At 40.7% G+C, this 20,611-nt stretch overlaps 1 protein-coding gene across 2 annotated transcripts in view, besides 2 other annotated features; it reads left to right on the top strand.

Annotated features, from left to right (window-relative positions):
* PUDP (pseudouridine 5'-phosphatase) overlaps positions 1-20,611 on the top strand; it is a 442,316-nt gene that overhangs the window by 181,507 nt on the left and 240,198 nt on the right. The window lies entirely within an intron of this gene.
* Positions 6,612-7,235: an enhancer, noted in NCBI's record as "OCT4-NANOG-H3K27ac hESC enhancer chrX:6877453-6878076 (GRCh37/hg19 assembly coordinates)". NCBI's record gives its function as "activates a minimal SCP1, AML or CMV promoter by ChIP-STARR-seq in naive H9 embryonic stem cells {active_cell/tissue: H9 hESC(naive)}" and the evidence as "EXISTENCE:reporter gene assay evidence [ECO:0000049][PMID:30033119]".
* Positions 7,236-7,861: an enhancer, noted in NCBI's record as "OCT4-NANOG-H3K27ac hESC enhancer chrX:6876827-6877452 (GRCh37/hg19 assembly coordinates)". NCBI's record gives its function as "activates a minimal SCP1, AML or CMV promoter by ChIP-STARR-seq in naive and primed H9 embryonic stem cells {active_cell/tissue: H9 hESC(naive and primed)}" and the evidence as "EXISTENCE:reporter gene assay evidence [ECO:0000049][PMID:30033119]".

Genomic DNA, 20,611 nt, shown 5'->3' with positions numbered 1-20,611 from the left:
GAGCCCAGGAGTTCAAGGTTGCAGCAAGCTACAATTGCACCACTGCACTCCAGCTTATGTGATAGACTGAGACCCTGTCTCTAAAAAAAAAAAAAAAAAAATATGAAGGCGATCCAGTCTAAAGGACTCAAACACAACTTTCAATATTTGGAATTTTATTGCTTATAACTCAAGAAGTTCATAAAGTGTTGGTGGAATGATTAAGAGAAATGGCAGAGTGAGATAATCTTTTTGCTCAAATTGTACAATTCTTTGATGCACTCCATCATTTACTTAGTTTCTATATAACAGGCATAGAACCAAGATTCACTCAATTTTAGTAATTTTAACTTTTACAGGTGGGTGTGTATGTGAAAGACAATATGTATGATGTGGTATACAAAACAGCAAGCAAAATTGAACAACACTTACATGCAAACATATCTACACAAAATAGATATTTTTATTTCCTATATTATATATAAAATATATATATGTGATAATTGTAGAAAAATGTGCTTTAAAGGACAATGATGCATTTCCTGGAAGAGTACAGCCTCTAGGATTATCAGATTCTGATTCTGTGGGACCAAACTTACATCCTCATAAGTTGTAGATAACTGAGTGCAAAATCATTCCTGTCTATTCATATGCAAATTATGTCCTGTCTGGTACAGTTTCAATTATTTCCTTCCCGAACGGTGGAAGAAGGTAGTTTTATGTTCTGAGGTTTCAATATTCCTGATCTATAAATGTGTCTGTTTGGAGTCGACTTTGAACTGGTTGCAACATCTTACAACCAGTTTCCTAACTCAAGAGTTAAATAAAGTCTTTAATACAGTTGATTTTTATAGCTGCATAGGTTTTTATTTTTCCTGCTTATGAAAATGATTATTTCACAAGTAACATAGCATTAGATATCCGATTGACATAATCCCACAAATGAAGAGAGGATTGGGTTTTATATACTGTATGCCTAATTATTTTGTGTATAACTCCTGTTTAACAATAATCTTAGCACTCATCACTGCAGTTTATTGAGTGTATACTATGCAGCTGGCTTTGCTCTTTAGCATTTGTATACAGTATCGTGTTTAATTGTCACAATCTTTGAGGCAGGTAGTTTTGTATTATATGAGGCGACTGAGCTCAAAAACTTTGATTTGCAAACAAAATGGGCATAATCAATGCAAGGAAAGGCTGGAATTTGAATCCAGGTCTCTGTGATATTCTAAAGCCATCTATTCTTTTCTTTTATGTATATTGTTTCATGGGTTATAACCATGTGCTTGGGGGTAAGAGAAACGTATCTTTTCCATGTCTGTTGAACCATTTCTCTAAATGTGTATTTATGAAAAATTTTTCTCCTCTCCAGTGTTTAAAAAATATCTTAGAGTTGCGTTAAGCCTGTTTTCATGAGCCAGAGCCTCTCTGACCTTCGGCTGCTTACTGTTTTAAAACAATACTTGGAAGAAAATAAATCGCTGCTCTCATGGAAGAGCACTTACGACAGGCTTTAGGGGATCATTATGCATTGGGAAGTCATTTTCCAAATGACACTTCAGTGACCCCAAAGAGCCTTAAATCAAAGAAGAGAGCCTTGGCCTATGACTATTTCATGCAAAAACAGTTACTGACTTCTGTTTGTTAAAATAATCAAGCAAATATCACACAGAGGACAATGTTACCTAGCTTTTAATTCTTTGGATGATTGCCTGGGCTTAAGTAGATATCACTGTTTCCTTGGTTCTTACGAATTGAGATGGTACTAGGAGGGGGAAAAAACTTAGGAAAGGTGTTATTATCTGACATAGCAGTTGAGAATACCTAAATGAATTATTGTAAAGCTAGATTATAAATTTCTTGGGGGAAAGGATCGTATCTTATTTGACCTTTAATCCATGGCGGCATGAACATCACCTCAAAGGAGCTCAACACTTTTTATTTATTTATTTATTCATTTATTGACTTTTTTACTTATTTATTTATTTTTTGAGACATAGTCTTGCTTTGTCGCCCAGGCTGGAGTGCAGTGGCATAATCACTGCTCACTGCAGCCTCAACCTCTAGGGCTCAAGCAATCCTCCCACCTCAGCCTCCCAAGTAGTTAGGACCATAGTTGTGTGCCACCACGCCCAGCTAATTTTTAAAATTTTTTGTAGAGACAGAGTCTCACTATGTTGCGCAAGCTGGTCTCAACCTCCCAGGCTCAAGCAGACTGTCTTCCTCAGCCTAACAAAGTACTGGGATTATAGGCATGAGCCACTGTGCCCATCTCAATACCCATTTCTTGAATCAAATTGGTGTATCTTCCCAAAGTAGGGAATCGAATCTTTTAATTGCTACTTGGTTTTCCTTTTGCTTCAATGGCTTAGTTCTCCTGAAAGTATATAGAATGTGCATTTCTCACCATTTCCTGTACATTTTCCAGAAAATAAGACATATGCTGATGCTATTTCAATTGAAAGAGGTTTTGACTACAAGTATTATGGCCATTTGAAAATAACTTGCTATTTGTATTATGCAAAAGACCTTGTCTAAAGCACTTTGTTTGTAAATAAAGCCCCGTGTTGCCTATAATAAAGATATCAACCCACATTTTACTTCCTAGAATGCTTCTAGAAAAAGTCCCTGAATAGGCGTGCTAATGCAAGCCACTTATCCCTGAGTGATTTGAACAATCGCATTCTTCTTGTTAGAAAATGTGACGAATGAAAAACCTGGCAAACACTCACCGAAGAGTCAATTCCTCCCACGAATATAGAGTCAGTTTTTTATAGTGCTGGCTTTAGAACCTGTATGTTTCTTTAGAACAACTGCAAAATGTTGGGCATGAGGGATTAAAACCAATAGCCCAAATATTGTGCATATGATCCGAAGGATTGGCATGGTGGAAAATCACTTCTGACGTCTCACTTTGAGCACAGCATTTGGTGGCTAGCATCAAGGTCCCCATTGTTTGCTCTCAGACCACCTGGTCTCACCTTTAGAGGTTTCACAAACACACCCCTGCGGATCTCTCAGTTACAGCCTGCATATTTGTTTATGTGAAAAACAAGAAGGTCATTTTTCTCTTATGTCAGCCCCTACTCACTTCTGATGCCAGATGTATGTGGGTTTTTCCCCCATAAACCAAGCAATTCTCCAATGAATACCCACTAGGTGTCCTATAATTCAGTTCCATCCTGACACTGTCTGCCTGGAGTTAGAGTGGGACCCTGCAGGTTAAGGGCTCAATCCCACAGGGCATTCAGACAGTATAGACAGAGGGCTGAGGACTTGGCTCAGTCATGTCAGAGCCAGGCTTTTTCTTACCTGAAGGAGGTAATAAATGCTCCTCAGGCATTCCCATTTCCAGCCTCCCTTTCTGTTAGCTGTGCCCATGTGACCACATCCTCCCAGGAAGAAGCCAAGCAGAAATGAAGCCAGAACCTCCTTATAAAAGTACCCCACAGATTCCCCTGCTACTCTTTCTTCCAGCTGACTGTGATGGTGATGCTCACAGGGACCCTTGAAGACATGAGTTAAAGATCGTAGAAGCATGACAAGTTGGATACCTGAATGACTGTGTGGATCTGAGTTTCCCAGTGCCCTGCAGTACATGATCACATTGTTTATGAGACTGACTATGTCTGAGCCAGAATTGATTGCATCTATTTGATGCTGCAACTTAGCCTGTGCTAAGACACTAGCTCTGGTAAAATAGTCTCAGAGCTTCATCTGCCGATTAGAGAAGATGATGGCACCAACATCTGTTCCACCAAAAATAAATTAAATAATGCATGTAAAATGCTTTCTAGTGTTAATTTGTTATACCAACACCTATTGTTAGAATTAAGAGAGATGTGAGAAATAATTTCTTATCAGATATATTTGAAACTCTAGATTTATTCACACAGAATGGTGTTAGAAATGTAGTTTTTAGAGAATTTACAAAGAAATCAACAGCCATATAAAACCAATTTTAAACCATCTAAACTTTAACATTGTATGGAACTCAAAAAACAAAAAGTAAAATCAAAATGTTTCTTTGCACATAAAGGAAACTTTTCTACTAACTGAATTTTATGGCATAAAAGTTTGCATTTTGAAGAGACTGTAATTACTTAGACATATGCTCCGGGACCCCTTTAACAAAATAAGACCTTTCCAAAGTGACTGTGTTATATAGAAAATGAGTTCATGCTGTAGAAATAATAGAATCAAATCCAAACAAGGGACTTTCTGGAATTGTCTTCTATTTTATAAGGAAGATTGAAAACTAGACAGAATATAAGGGATTAATACCTACAATTGTGAGCTTGTTAAATTTATTGTGTGTAAATGTGTTTGTAGACTCAAACACCGGGGTGTAGTATTTCAATCAAACAAATTCGATGAAATTATGCAGCTTAATGAGAAAGTGTGTGCTATTTTATTTGGCTTTTTTTTTAACCTCAGAGGCAGACCATGCTAAATTAAAACAGTGATCCAACCACAGTGACTGGCATTTCTACCACTGGTTAAAATTATACTTACATAGCACAGGGAATGAATTTTGTATGCTCAACACTCTCAAGAATGTTGTGGATTCTCCATACATGGAAAATTAAAATGATTGTTTTACTTGTTAGTTCTTTCAGATCACTAATTGATTTTCCTTTTCATATTTGAATTGTAGAGTACCCTTAAAATGTTTTATTAATTCCTACCATACTTCAGACTCCTTGAAAGCAGGTTTCCACTCTTCAGAAGCAGTTAACTTGTTTTTTGCATTATTTATGAAGGGTATGTTTATTCTTTCTTAGCATAAAGAAGACTTCTTGCATGTGCTGTGTTGCTATCACGGGTAAAGACCATGCACGGATATGGAATTCCAGAGCAGTGCAAGAATGAGGCTCTGGACTCAGACTCCCAAGTTCTGTTCTTGGGTCATGCACTGACCATCTATATAAACTTAGGGATGTAGCTTGAAGTCTCTGTGCCTCATTTGCCTCATTCATAAAATATAAATGGTAATCACAGTCTCCTTCCTAGAGTTTCTGGGAAGGTTAAGGAGAGTCATTAAACAGTTCTTTACTCCTTGTAAATGCTTAACACATGTGGGTAATTTTTTGGTTAATATTTGCTTATTACCTGGTTTGTTCATCTTTTCATGAAACAGTTGTTTAGCACTCCTGTGTGCTAGAGACTATGCTAGTTTCTTGCAAATACAGGGATGAATGCAAGCATGCTTTGGTGGATTTCATGCTTGAGAGGAGACACCAACACATGGGTAGTCTTTTTTATTTTTTATTTTTTTTTAGACAGGGTCTCACTCTGTTGCCTAGGCTGGAGTGCAGTGTCATTATCATGGCTCACTGCAGTCTTCACATCCCAGGCTCAGGTGATACTCTCACCTCAGTCTCCCAAGCAGCTGGGACTACAGGCATGGCTAATTTTTGTGTTTTTTGTAGAGATGGGGTTTCACCATGTTGCCCAGGCTGGGCTTGAACTACTGGGCTCAAGCAATCCACCTACCTCGTCCTCCCAAAGTGCTGGGATTACAGGTATGAGGCACCACACCTGGCCTACTTTTGGTGAGTCTTGAAGGATGAATAGGAGTTTGCCAGGTGGCATTTTGGTATAGGAAATAGTTATTAGAAAAAAATAAGGAGAGTGTAATTAAAATGAGTTTTGTATGTGTGGAATCCAGATCCAGCCCACATCTTGTTTTTGTAAAAAAAAGCTTCATTGCAACAAACCCATGCCCATTTATTTCCATATTGTGTATGGTTGCTCTCCCACCATAGTGGCAAGGTATGAGCAGCTGTTCCATGGATCATATGGTGCAAAACGCCTAAAATATTTACTGTCTGACCCATCACATACACAAAAAAAAGCTGGCCAACCTGTGTTCTATACTCTGTTGGTGGCAGCTGATTTCTAAAGCTACTGTCTCTGCATGACCTGATGTTTCATTTTTGCTTTTGTAGCTGTCAACACCTGTGTAATCAATTCCCTACATTCAATGTCCTCTGTGGAAATACCTAGTGTGATTCCTGGTTTTCTGGTTGGACCCTGTCATAGACTGATTTGTGCTGCTATAACAGAATACTGGAGTCTCAATAATTTATAAAGAACAGAAATGTATTGGCTCGCAATTCTGGATGCCGGGAAGTCCAAGATTGGGGGTCCAGCATCTGGTGAGGGCCTTCGTGCTGTGTCATCTCATGGCAAAAAGTGAAAGGGCAAAGAGGGTGAGAGAGAGCAAGAGCAGTAAGTTACAGAGCAAGACCCTGCCTCAAAGAGAGAGAGAACGAGGAGGCGGAACTTGGCCTTATATAAGGAACTCACTCCTGTGATAATGACATTAATCCATTCATGAGGGCAGAGCCCTCAATGGCCTAATCACCTCTTAAAGGTCCCGCCTATTAACACTATTGTAATACATTGAGAATTAGATTTCCAACACCTGAACTTTGGGGATACATTCAAACCACAGAATTCTGCCCAGGGCCTCCTGAATTTCTGTTCTTCTTACATGCAGAATACTTTTATTACATCCCAATAGCCCCAAAGTCTTAACTCCTTCCAGCACCAAGTCAAAAGTCCAAAGTCTCATCTAAATCAGATACAGGTAAGATTTGAAGCTTGATTTCTTCTGAGGCAAATTTCTCTCAGTTGTGAGCCTCTGAAATCAAACAAGATATCTACTTTCCAAATACAATGGTGGGACAGGCATAGGAGACACATTCTCTCAAAAGGAAGAAATAGGTATTTGTAAAGAACAGAAATTTATTGGACTTACAGAAATGTAGGTCCAAAACTCAACAGGGTGAACAACATCAAATCTTAAGGCTCCAGAATAGTATTTCTTGACTCTATATTCCACCTTGTAGATACCCTGGGGTGGAAGTTGGGCCTTGAAGGCCCTAGGGGCCCAATCCCCACCATTTTACTGAAGAGCACACAGTTTCTCTGATGAGTTGGGGTCAGGCGCCTGTGGCTTACTGGGCTGGCATTAAATGCTGGTAGCTCTGTAGTTCTGGGGTCTCAGGATTAGGGGGTTACTCTTCTCCCAAAGCTCCACTAGGCATTGCCCTGGTGGAGACTGTCTGCAGCAGCTCCTCCTCTGTCACAGGCCTGTTTCTGGGTCCCCAGGTTGTCATTGACATCCTTTAAAATTTGGGTGGCGGAAGCCATGCCTGCACAGCGCTTGCATTCAGTATGCCTGCAGAATTAGCACCACGTGGACACCACCAAGGTTCATGACTTGTGCCTTCTGCAGTGGGGAGTCAAGCTGAACCTAGGCTCACTTGAGCCACAGCTGGGGCACCTGAGGAGCACTGCACTGGAATGTGGGAAGCAGACACTTCAGGTGGTGCAGGGCAGTGAGTACTGTGGTCCCATGGGCACCATGGGCCTCTCTTTTGACATATTTCCTTTCCCCAGACCTTGGCACTCTGGGCCTGTGATGGGAGGGGCAGAATTGCTAATCTCTGAAATACCTTCAGGATCATTCTCCCATTGTTCTGCTGAATGGCCTCTGGCTTGTTTTATCATGTTAATTTCCTTATCTCTTGGCCACACCCCTGTTTTCCTCTCTTGAAAATGCTCTTTCATTCTTGACCTCCTAGCCAGGCTGAGAATCCTTCAAATCTCCAAGTTCTGTTTCCCTTTTAATTATAAAGTCTGCATTTAAATCATTTCTTTCTTCTCACATTGTATTATATGCAATTAAGAGAAACCACACAGCATCCTGAATGCTTTGCTGAATTTCTTGCTCATCAGTCTTAAGTTCTGCCTTATATAAAGTCTTAGGACATGGACACAATTCAGCCAAATTCTTTGCCACTTGGTAAAAAGGATGGCCTTTCCTTCAGTGTCCAATAAGTTGTTCCTCATTTCCATCTGAGACCTCATCAGAAGGACCTTTTCTCTTTTTTTTTTTTTTTTTTTTTGAGATGGCATTTCACTTTTGTTGCCCAAGAGTGCAATGTTGGCTGGAGTGCAATGGCGTGATCTCAGCTCACTGCAACCTCCGCTTCCCAGGTTCAAGCGATTTTTCTGCCTCAGCCTCCAGAGTAGCTGTGATTACAGGTGCCCACCACCATGCCTGGCTAATTTTTTGTATTTTTAGTAGAGACTGGGTTTCACCATTGTAAAAAGTAAAGTAGAGGTTCCTCTTCAAAGACTTTCCTCCCCATTTAATTAGGAATAAATAGTAACTTCTCTTAGAAGCAAAATTTATTCAAAGGCCTGTGCTAACATTCTTAAATACCGGCTAGCCATGATAAGGAAATTAGTGTACTTTATGTTCTTAGCTCCCACAATTTAGCCTAAATATTTGACCTGGCATACTTATACTGGTCCAAGCAAGCATTAGGTCATAGCCTGCTCCTCTTCCTTCTTTGAAGGTGTTTTTACCTTTCTCAGCATTCCACAAGTTACTTCCGCCTTCCTTTGTTCTCCTCTACCTTTGCCTCTTTTAAAAAGTTATAAGTTGCTAGCCAGTTGGAACAAATACAGAATATGAGGTCCCATTCCAGCCAATGGAAACCGGACACAGCAGTAGGGTGGACGCGTAAGGTTATAAATGACCCTATCTCCTTTGTTCGGTATACTCTGACAAAACTGCTGGAGCGTGTACCCTTTCTGTAGGAAGTAAAAATGGCCTTGCTGAGTAAATTAAATTTATGTTCAAGTGCTATTTCCTTATGGCACTGGGGAACAAGCATTTCAAACAACCATGTTGGTCAAGCTGGTCTGGAACTCCTGACCACCCACCTTGGTCTTCCAAAGTGCTGGGGTTACAGGCATGAGCCACCACGCCCAGCCTCTTTACTCTTTTCTACCAGCATTGTGATCACCACCACTTAAGTAATCTCTAACAAGTTCCAGACTTCCTTTACAACTCTCCTTTTCTGAGCCTTCATCAGAATTGCCCTTAACATTACATTTATGGCAATGTATACTTTTTCTAGCCTGCTCTTCCAAATTCTTTCCGCCTCTACTTATTACCTAGTTCCCGAGCCACTGCCAAATTCTCAGGTATTTGTTAAAGAAGCAACCCCACTTCTAAGTACCAGTTTTCTGTCTTAGTCTTTTCTGTGCTGTTATAACAGAATACCACAGCCTGGATAATTTATAATGAAGAGGAATTTATTGGCTCACAATTCTGGAGGCTGGGAAGTTCAAGACTGAGAGGCTGGCATCTGGTGAGAGACTTTGTACTGTGTTATCACATGGCAAAAGGCAGAAGAGCAAAGAGAAGGTGAGAGAGAGTGGAAAAGAGAGCTGAACTATTTTTTTTTTTTTTAATAAGAAACCCACTCCTGAGATAAACTCATTCCCATGATAAGGGCATTAATCCATTCATAAGGGCAGAGCCTTCATGGCCTAATCACCTCTTAAAGGTCCCTCCTCTTAAACCTGTTGCATCAGGGATTAACTTTCCAATGCCTGAACTTCCAGGGACACATTCAAACCATAGCCGACCTTGACTGATGGAACACTATCTAGCTCTCTTTAACCTTATCTTCAACTCCTCCCCTGGGCTCAGGCTGCATGCATCAGCAGTTATTTGGGATAAGGCACAACACTGATACTTCTAGTAAAAGGATAGATGAGAATTTCCCATTATGGAAGTGGTTTTCTTTAAATTTTTCATCTGCCTTTCATTGTTTAGTCATGGCTTCATTGGACATGATGAGGTGAATCCATTCTCATTCTCATCTCATCTGAGAGATGTGTGCCCTTAGGCTCACATAGGTGATGCTGTGTAGAAGATGCCAGGCAGTGGAAAGGAGGGGGCTTTTCAAAGCAGACCCAACAGAGTACAAAACACATAACTCACCAGGAAGTGACTCCTGCCATTAAGAATGGAATCAGGACCCTTCTATGGTGGCTTTTGGTTGCAAAGTCCATGACAAACAGAGTTGTGCCTAGCTAGGTTGGGCCATAGTCAGAGGGATAAAATTCAGTCTTGGTCAAGAAGTACTTAATGTTAGGCATTTTGTACACCGTAACAGCAAAGCATCCTTCTCTTTCTAAAAATGTATTTATAAAGAATTTGCTGAAAATGAACACTTTACAGTTGCAGAGACAGAAGCTAAGAACATTCTGCAAACAGGGTCACCACCTCCAGCCCAGATAGTTCAGACTGATGTTTTTCAACATCTTTCCTGTGTTTTGGGCATTTTCCCCTCCCCACAAAAGTTTAATACAGATATATTACATATCTGTTTATGTACTGCATGCATTTCTATACTTTACTGATAAAGATAGTTTGATTTTTTTTTTTTTGCCCTAAAAATCTATTTTGTTCCCTAAGGAGCAATGTTTGCCCCCACTGAAGATGCATACTTAACAAGAAATAGTAGTGGCCGGGCGTGGTGGCTCATGCTGTAATCCTAGCACTTTGGGAGGCTGAGGCTGGCAGATTGACTGACAACACAGTGAAACCCCGTCTCTACTAAAATACAAAAAAGTTAGCTGGGCGTGGTGGCATGCGCCTGTAGTCCCAGCTACTTGGGAGGCTGAGGCAGGAGAATCACTTGAACCTGGGAGGTGGAGGTTGCAGTGAGCTGAGATCGCACCACTGCACTCCAGCCTGGGCGACAGAGCGAGATTTCATCTCCAAAAACAAACAAACAAGAAATAGTAGCATTGAATGGGCAGAAAAGGAATTTAGACCAGATAGAAAGGAGATTTATCTTCATTATCACACTGGCTACAGAGTCTTATATGTTCCTGAGTAACACAATGCACAAAATGTCCATATATCTACACAAGTAGCTAATTATTGTTTGCATATATGTGTCGTGTATATGTTTATATTGTTCAGGGGTAATATACAAGCCCTATAGTTTAAACTATGTGTAGTTTAATTAATGAATGGAGTTTAAATTATTCTTAACATATTTTTCTGTCATTTTTTACATAACTCAGAAATAAAAGCATAGGATCCTCTAAATATTATGTTATATAAGTGACTTACTGAGTGGACAAATTCTGGTGCTCATTGTGAGCAAAACTGGTTAAGCAATATGTTTTAGGGAAAAAAGCCTCATTAAAATCTGTTTTCCCATCCTAATTATAAAAGCGACAATTTCTGTTGAAAATATGGATATAGTAGAAAAGCATAATGAGAACTAAAAAATTGTCTGTGATCCTAGCACTGAGAGAAACATCACGGTCAATGTCTTGGTGTCTGCATACACAAACATAATCTGGTTATGTTAAGAAGGCATATAAAGAACTAAAAGTCGACCAGCCTAAGCAACATAGCAAGACCCATCTCTACAAAAAACAAAAAGAATACCTGGGCATGGTGGCATGCACCTGTAGTCCCAGCTGCATGGGAGGCTAATGTAGAAGGATCATTTGATCCTAGGAGTTGGAGGATGCAGTGAGCAACGATCATGCCACTGCACTCTAGCCTGGGCAACAGAGGAAGACTATGTCTCTAAAAGGAAAAAAAAAAAAGGAACTAAAAGTTAAAAGAGGACAAAGGTCTCCAAGATAGACAGAAGTACCTCACTATGTAGTAAAGAATTTAATCTTGTTCAGCAAGAAATCTGCCCAGGGAGGTGATCCCAAAGCCCTTGGAATGTCAAGCCTGGTAGGATTGACTGCCTGATAGCCTTGGGTCACTGCATAGTTTAGTAATGTGATGTCAGGTAGGAGGCTGGTCATGCCAGAGTCTTATCAGTGGAATGTAGGGGGGCAGGGTCTTTGACCCATGCAGCATCAGCTTGACCTCCTGAGGGGCTGGAGATGGAGATCTGCCCCATGGGCAATCATCAATACCCGTGTGATAGAGCCCCAGTGAAATCTCTGGACTCAATTCTCAGGTGGCCTTTCCAGGTTGGACATACTCCATGCATACTGTCACATAGCAATGCAGGGAAAGCAACACTGCCCATGACTCCACAGGGACAGGACATCTGGAAGCTCAATATTTGCAACTTTTCCAGACTCTTTTCTGTATGCCTTTTACCTGGGCTGACTTAAATCTGTCTCCTTTAGCTGTAATGAACCATAACCATATGCATAACACCTTTCAGTGACTCCTGTGAGTCCTTTTAGCAAATTATTAAAACAGGGTAGTTTTGTGAACCTACTTGAAATTGGAGTGATTGTGAGAAGCAAGCCAGCCTGGAGGACTGCCCCTCTAACCTTGCAGTTGGCTGACACGGACTGACACGGAGCCATCTATATGAGAGTGACCACAAGAGGGGTAAAAGCCGAGAGGAGCCAGTATGTGGTGAGAAGGATGCAGTGCATGGTTCCAGCCAGGATGCTGGAGAGCTCTCCTGGGGGTTTCTAGCACAGCACTGTCAATCAGGACTGGAAAGTTCATCCCCTCTACAGTATGGCACATGCATGGACTGACCCTGTTTAACAAACTGGGAAACAAAGGAGCCCAGAATATTATCAAGTGCCAAAGAATGTAAGAAACAATGTGTTCAGTGTAAAAGGAACAGTTGTTGAGGGCTGTATTAGTCCATTCTCACCCTACTAATAAAGACATACCGAGACTGGGTAATTTATATAGGAAAAAGGTTTCATTGACTCACAGTTGCACAGGGCTGGGGATGCCTCAGGAAACTTACACTCATGGTAGAAGGGGAAGAAAACACATCCTTCACATGGCAGCAGCAAGGAGAAGCGCAGAGCAAAGGGAAGTGGGAAGTGGGAAAGGGAAGTGGGTATAAAACCATCGGATCTCGTGAGGACTCACTCACTATCATTGAGAAAAGCATGGAGATAACCACCCTCATGATTCAATTACCTCCCACCAGGTCCCTCCCATGACAAGTGGGGATTATGGGAACTACAATTCAAGATGAGATCTGGGTGGGGACACAGCAAAACCATATCAAGGGCATAGTGATCAACAAGAGCTTTCTGGAGGAGGTGGGCTTCAGCCAGGCTTGGAGGATAAGTGACATTTGGAGAAGCAACTTGGAGAATGGGGGCTATAGGGGTGAATGTTCAATGCACTGCTGCTTAGGGAATGTTCTTGCTGCAGGGCACAGACCCTGGCATTTCTGTAGGAGTGTGTCCGTGCAGTAGAACTCCAGGAATCAAATTTGAAAAGTTTATGGTTGATCTTGAACCTCTGGCTAAACAATCTGGGTTCTATCCTACCTATTTTATGACTTCCTCTCTTTCCCTATGGCCTCAGGAAATTGGTTTCTTCATTTGAAAAAAAAAGTGGTGTATTAATATTTAACTTACATTTCTTATGAAATGTAAGTAGGAAATGTATATAAAATATTTATTAGACTCCCTCATACCTTTTGAGATGCTCAAAATATGGGTTTTCTTTTATCCCAACCATGAACAGCCTCCAGGTTTAAGCAGGAGAGTTCTATGAAAAATGTGATGTTTAATTTTTTTTCTAGACGAAAGAAAAGAACAAAGATGGAATTGAATTAGAAATAAATTGAAAACAGAAAAAATAAACTCAATTGAAGTAAGATATAAATATAACACCAGATATTTTTAAATTAACATTTCTTTTAAATTTCATGGTCAAAACTAAACAAGGAGTAACTAACAGTGGGAAAACTTCACAGACACTGTCTTTACCAGGTGATCATGGCTAACATCATAATGATAAATCATGTGAACCCCTAATATGATATGATGAAAAGTGCTCCTCACTGCTAAGATCTTCTTCCCCAAAACCTATAACTCTAGTTTAATCATCAGAAAATATCAGACAAACCAAGATAGAGGGACTAAGACAAAATATGTCTTAGTCCATGTGTGCTGCTATAACAAAATACCTTAGACTGTGTAATTTATAAACAACCGACATTTGTTGTTCACAGTTCTGGAGGCTGGGAAGTCCAAGATCAAGACATGACAGAGTCTGTGTCTGGTGAAGGCTCACCTCCTGGTTCATAAATGGTGCCTTCTTGCTGTGTCCTCACATGGTGGAAGGGCAAAAGGGGGGAACAGCTCCTTACCACCTCTTTTATAAGATCATTAATCCCATTCATGAGGGCTCCACCCTCATGATCTAATCACCTCCCAAATATCTCACCTCCTAATACCACCACACTGGCAACTATGTTTCAACATGTGAATGTTGGGAGAACATATTCAGACCACAGCAATATCAAGGTCACACAAAACAAGGAATTCTGAGAAACTCTTACAGTATAGAGGAAACTAATGGTGACTAATTGTAACAGTGTCCTGGATTGAATCCTAGAATAGAAAAGATCATTATTGGAAAAACTGTGGAAATCCTAATACAGCCTGTAATGCAGTTAGTAGTTCTGTAACAATGATGGTTTCATAGTTTTGACGAATGTGCTTTGGTTGTGTAAGATGTTAACATTAGGGGAAGCTAAGATATATGGGGAATCTCTGTACTATCTTCATAACTTTTCTGTACATTTAAAATTATTTCAAAATAGAAATTTTACTCTAAAAAAATTACTACCAAAGGAGAAAAGAGTCAAGGAAAAGAAAATTGTTCCTAATCCACTGTGGACTGTACAAATATATGTAATGCCCATTGAACACTTACTTTCTGTGATATTCCATTTTCTCAATAATGGGTGTTTCCATATAGCAGGATTGGAGATGAGCTTATTGAGTCCCTAAATAAAATAGTGATCCAGGAATATTCTGGGATGACTTCAGTTGTAGCTCCTGTATTTAACAGTTATCAAGAGTGAAATTAACTACCCAGGTTTTAGTTTTAATATGTGTCTTCTCCCACAGGGCCCAAATTCCCATGAAGTTATTGGTGCTGCAAACTCTTTCTTCTCCTCTAAGAAACTAAGGGCAACAAGCATTTGTTGTCATTGTTAGCTATCCCTGGCATTGACATTTTATTATAAACATTTAGGATCTAATGAATAGATATTCTGAAAAAGTTCCAGCCAATTCAGAGTGTTCTGCAACCAAGGAAGGCATGCCGACTGCAGCACTATAACACATCAGCTGCAGTTGTAAGCCAGGCACTGTGCACAGTAGCGGTTTGCAGCAAGTTGTAGAAATGGGCCATTTCCACTCAAGAGCATCAACCACCATTGCATTTATGCCTGGCTGAGCTGGGGAGGTTGTCTTCATGCAGGCATCTTCTAAATGGTTTCAGGTGTCATTATCCCTCCACTGGTAGAGGCCATGGGGAATGTGACCATAGCATAAATAGAAGCTCCAGTTCCCATTCCTTTGGTAGATATTTTCATGAAGAGCAAAATATGGTGCTGGAGTCCTCTTGAGATGTCATGGAACTAGAGCCATAGGATCCCTAGAGTAAAGAGTTGAGTAGAATAAGGATTTATCAGTTATTGGAAGAATACAGAACAAAATATCCAGCATTTTGTTGGATGGCTCGATAGATAGATATGATGGATGGGTAGATATAATGGATGGATGGATGGATGGATGGATAGATAGATTAGATAGATAGATAGATAGATAGATAGATATGATGGATGGATGGATGGATGGATGGATGATGGGTAGATAGGTAGATAAATGTAGATAAATGAGATAGATTTTAAATACATGATACTTATATCTATATTTAGATAGAGATTCATTATAAGAAATGGGTTCATGCAGTTGTGGAGGCTGACCAGTTCTAAGATCTGCAGGGTGAGTTTGGAAGCTGGGGATCCAGGAGCACTGATGATGTTGTTTCATTCCAAAGTCCTGCAGGCTTGAGACCCAGGAAGAGCCAGTGTTTCAGTTTGAGGCTGAAGGCAGGAAAAAAAAAAAACACACAACCAAGGTCTCAGCTCAAAGCTAGTTAGGCAGAAGGAGTTCTCTCTTACTGAAGGAAAGGTCAGTCTTTTTGCTCTACTCGGGCCTTCACCTGATTGGACGAAGTCCACCCACAGTAGAGTGGGCCATCTGCTTTCCTAAGCCTACCTATTTACGGGACACTGCCATCCAAACCTATTTAAATGTTAATCTCATTTTTAAAAACATGACTTCTAACCAATAGAAATGACTAACTGATGGCCAGACGCAGTGGCTCACGCCTGTAATCCCAGCACTATGGGAGGCCGAGGTGGGTGGATCACGAGGTCAGGAGATCAAGACCATCCTGGCTAACATGGTGAAACCCTGTCTACACTAAAAATACAAAAAATTAGCCGGGAGTGGTGGTGGGTGCCTGTAGTCCCAGCTACTCTGGAGGCTGAGGCAGGAGAATGGCGTGAACCCGGGAGGTGGAGCTTGCAGTGAGCCGAGATCACACCACTGCATTCCAGCCTGGGCAACAGAGCAAGACTCTGTCTCAAAAAAAAAAAAAAAAAAAAAAGAAATGACTAACTGATGAGAAATAAGTTAAGTTATAAAACTATGACTCCATCTTTTTTTTTTTTTTTTTGAGACAGAGCTTTGCTCTGTCACCTAGGCTGGAGTGCAGTGGCATGATCAAGGCTCATTGCAGCCTCCACCTCCCTGGTTCAAGTGGTTCTCCTGCCTCAGCCTCCTGAGTAGCTGGAACTACAGGCATGCACCACCACTCCTGGCTAATTTTTGTATTTTTAGTAGAGACAGGGTTTCACCACGTTGGCCAGGCTGGTCTTAAATTCCTGACCTCAAGTGATCTGCCTGCCTCAACCTCCCAAAGTGCTGAGATTACAGGTGTGAGCTGCCACACCCAGCCTGACTCCATCATTTTTACCAGACTCTTTCTATTGGAAGCGAGCAGCCATACTGGAGACAGGGCAAGGTCCCATTTCCACATGGCCAGGAATTGAGGGTAGCTTCAAGCCAATAGCCTACAAGGAATCACATCCTCCCAAGAGCCATGTGAGTTAGCTTGGAAGCAGATTCTTCCCCAATGGAGCCTTCAGATGGATGATATGAGATCCCAGCCCTGGCTGGCACCATGATCACTGCTTCATGAATGATCCAGAAGAAGATACTTAGTGGGCTAAGCTGTGCCCGGATTCCTGACCCAGAGAAACCATAATACATGTGTGTTGTGTTAAAAAGATAAAATTTGGATGTAATTTGTTTTTCAGCAGTAGACAATTAATACAGGGAGTTTTGACATTAACATTTAACATAAGGGTAATGAAAAGCAATATTTATAAACAGAAAAAGAAAGAACATTTTATTTAATAGAGTTATCTGCAGAAAGATTAAGCAATTAGCAGTTGGGGGTGAGAGATGAGCCTTAACTGATGTACAAGAGGAACAATACATGGTTGCTGAATAGTCTCTTAAAGAAAAGCAGACCCTTTGGTTTTATGGAGCATGGAGTTTAGTGGTGTATATGGGTTTAAGGGCTGTGCTTCACTGGAAAGATACAGATCATCCAAGGAGGAAAAGGATAAGGAGGAGGGAGAATAGGAGCAAGAAGATAGTGAAAAGCACACAAGGTGATAAAGATCTGGAGGACTGAGTCAAACCCCTCCATCTCACTTGTGATACATTTAATAAAGTTTTCATAACAAATCTCAAAGTACTTAGTGGGAGTGGACTTCTCATGGAAAGCAAGGACAACAAATTCTGCATGCCATTTGTCTCAGGCCACTCGGATGAAGAGACCGCCTTCTTTCTGGGTTGTTGATATAGTGTATGTATATGTCAAGGACCACCCAACTCCAGATATATGATTTCAGTAATATGATTTATGTTTCTGTTCTGATATATCATGGTGCCATGGGTTGACCTAATGTGTCACCATCTCTGACTTCTGTGCAATGGCAAAGGATTGGCTTAGGAAACACCAACATCATGTGCCCCCATTGCGAACACAGCTCATCACCACTGTCCTTAAATTATATTCCAGTTCTGCCTCCTCGCTGAGCATGATACCAGCCTAGTTGTTTAAATTTCCATGGAAGTGGACAGTTCCCTTATGCTCCACAGACGCTAGATTGAAAAACCCTGGAACATCCATGTCTTTACTGTTTTATCCATTTCAGAGACATTCATTGTGTTGGAATGACCCAATCCACATTCTGGGATGGAAAATGATCCACAACACTGCCTTGAGCTGAACACACGATATGCAAACTATGGAAAATGATCATGTACAAGAAAATATTCTTGTTTTCTTTAGCATCATCTAAAACCTTAATATTCAGGCACAGTCTGGGACCAATAGCGTGGGCTTCACCTGGGAGCTTGTTGGAAATGTGGACCATTGGACCCCACCCCAGCTCTGCTGAATTAGAATCTACAATTTTAACAAAACTCCCCAGTGGATATGTGTGCACATTAATGTTTAAAAAGCTCTGTTCTCAAATAAGAAACATGAAATATCAGTTGCCCCCACTGATAAAATGGGAAGCGAGCAAAAGAGACCAGAGTTGGTATTTAGGAGTCTGACTGAGGGGCTGGAAGGGCAGTGTCTCAATCTCTCAGCCTCTGCATGCTCTGAGAGTCTCAAAGGAGTAACGTAGAAGACAAGGTGTCGGTTTCACCCAAGGGCACTTATTTAAAGAGTGATTGAGAAAGGCACTCCTTTCCTCCCCTTTTCTAAAGCCTGCAAATAGCTGTCAGAACCAAAGAATAATTTTAGGTGAGTTCTCTCCTGAGTCAATATAAAAATAGTGCTTTTGTGTACTAGGAGAATGGGCCTCACTCTATCTAAAACTTCTTCGTTTGTTTTATCTGCAGCCACAAGTCATGGAGGCAGGAAGGGCAGGGAATCATGTTAGATGTCTAATATTCCTCCTTTTTGTTTTTCCTTTTAAGAGGCTGGCTGTGAAAGATAGTATCATTTGAAAGCCCAAAGGACAATATTGTGGTTAGATGCTTGTTCTGTTTAAAGGACAAATGGAATTGCTCAAATTTTAGCATCTGTCTATAACTTTAACCACTGTCAAATTATGAATGATATGGTATATAATTTTCATGGGATTTATGTGCAATTCAAACAGCTTTATTTTTATTTATTTATTTATTTATTTATTTATTTATTTATTTATTTTTGAGACAGGGTCTCACTACGTCTGGTGTGATCACAGTGCACTGTAACCTTGAACTCCTGAGCTCAACTGATCCTCCCACTTCAGCCTTGCATGTAGCTGGGACCACAGGAATGTGCCACCATACCTGGCTAATTTTTAAATTTGTTGTAGAGATGGGTTCTCACTATGTTGCCCAGCTGGTCTTGAATTCCTAGCCTCAAGGAATCCTCCTGCCTTGGCCTCTCAAAGCGTTGGGATTACAGGCGTAAGCCACTACACCCAGCCTCATACAGCTTAATATTTTTTAAAGCACATTTGATGTGGTTACTACTTCAATTAATAACTTTTGGGTCCACCTTAGTGATAAAATGTAAGCAATCTATGAATCTGTTCATTCCCAACTGCCATTTGTAGTTGCACCCTCCTCAACTATGCCATTTTTGTGTATTTGTTGAGACCAAGACAATATATAATGCAACTTTCAGCCGGGTGCAGTGACTCATGCCTGTAATCCCAGCACTTTGGGGGGCCGAGGTGGATGGATCACCTGAGTTCCACTTGAGGTCAGGAGTTCAAGACTAGCCTGGCCAACATGGTGAAACCGCATCTCTACAAAAATACAAAAAAATCAGCAGGGCGTGGTGGTGCGTGCCTGTAGTCTTAACTACTCGGGATGCTGAGGCAGGCGAATCACTCGAACCCAGGAGGCGGAGGTTGCAGTGAGCCAAGATGGCACCACTGCACTCCAGCCTGGGCAATAGAGTGAGACCCTGTCTCAATTAAAAAAAAAAAAACAAACAAACAGAAAAACAAACAAAAAAAAACAGACAATATAGAATTCAACTTTTAAAACAGCTTTTCTTTTTCAAAGCATCAAATTAATCCATGTTTACTTTACACCTAGAAAATACCTATAAGCATAAAGAACACTGTGAAGACTAACAACAAACCCACCACTGGAATGATTCATGTTTCATATATGTTTGTGTGACCTTCCATACTTTATTCAGTGTAGCAAAACTTTTAATGTTTTTCCATAAGACAGGATCATTATGTAATCGCTGCTTTGTGATTTTTTTTTACATTTCAGATATGATTCACGTCTTTCTGTATAATACACATAATTCTTTGAGATCATTGGTTTTGGGTACACATTACTCCATTTGAGAGCTTTCCACATTTTGCCTCCCCTGTCCCAGTATTGGGCAATAAAGTTGTTGTCAGTTCTGCTAAAACAACCTTGTAGCTAAATCATTCCTTATATTGTCAACTGAAGAAAACAAGGTACATAAATTTGGAAAGAAGAGCTTTATTTCTTATAAAGGGTTGTAGCCTGTAGGGTGGCTGTTCTGACAGACTGGGAAATGTAGCCTGTGGCCAGAAGACAGAAACAGACACTTCGAGGGAGGGGCAAAGGGAACAGGAATTTATGCTGAGCAGGGTGGTTGAATATACGTATTCAATAAGCTATAAGAGGCATCACAGATATTCATGAAAGAAGAAACGTGTGTATTTGCAGTGGAGCTTCATGCCCCTTCATGTGTCCCATGTACAAGGAATGGTGATGTTAGCATGATCCCAGGATTGAGTTCTCAGCCTTCTGATGTCAGAAGGTGAAGCAGAAGACACTAACACCCTCATTGCACATTCTCCATAGACGAGCCAGAACCACTCCATGGTCAGGGTCTCTTATCAGGAAGAAATACTGGTTGGTTGCTGTGCTGAAATCACAAAGGGTAGGGGCAGCATCGGGCGGTTGG

Source organism: Homo sapiens, chromosome X, assembly GCF_000001405.40.
Source record: "Homo sapiens chromosome X, GRCh38.p14 Primary Assembly".
In the NCBI taxonomy this organism is placed as follows: domain Eukaryota; kingdom Metazoa; phylum Chordata; class Mammalia; order Primates; family Hominidae; genus Homo; species Homo sapiens.
This window is presented reverse-complemented; position numbering and strand designations above follow the sequence as displayed.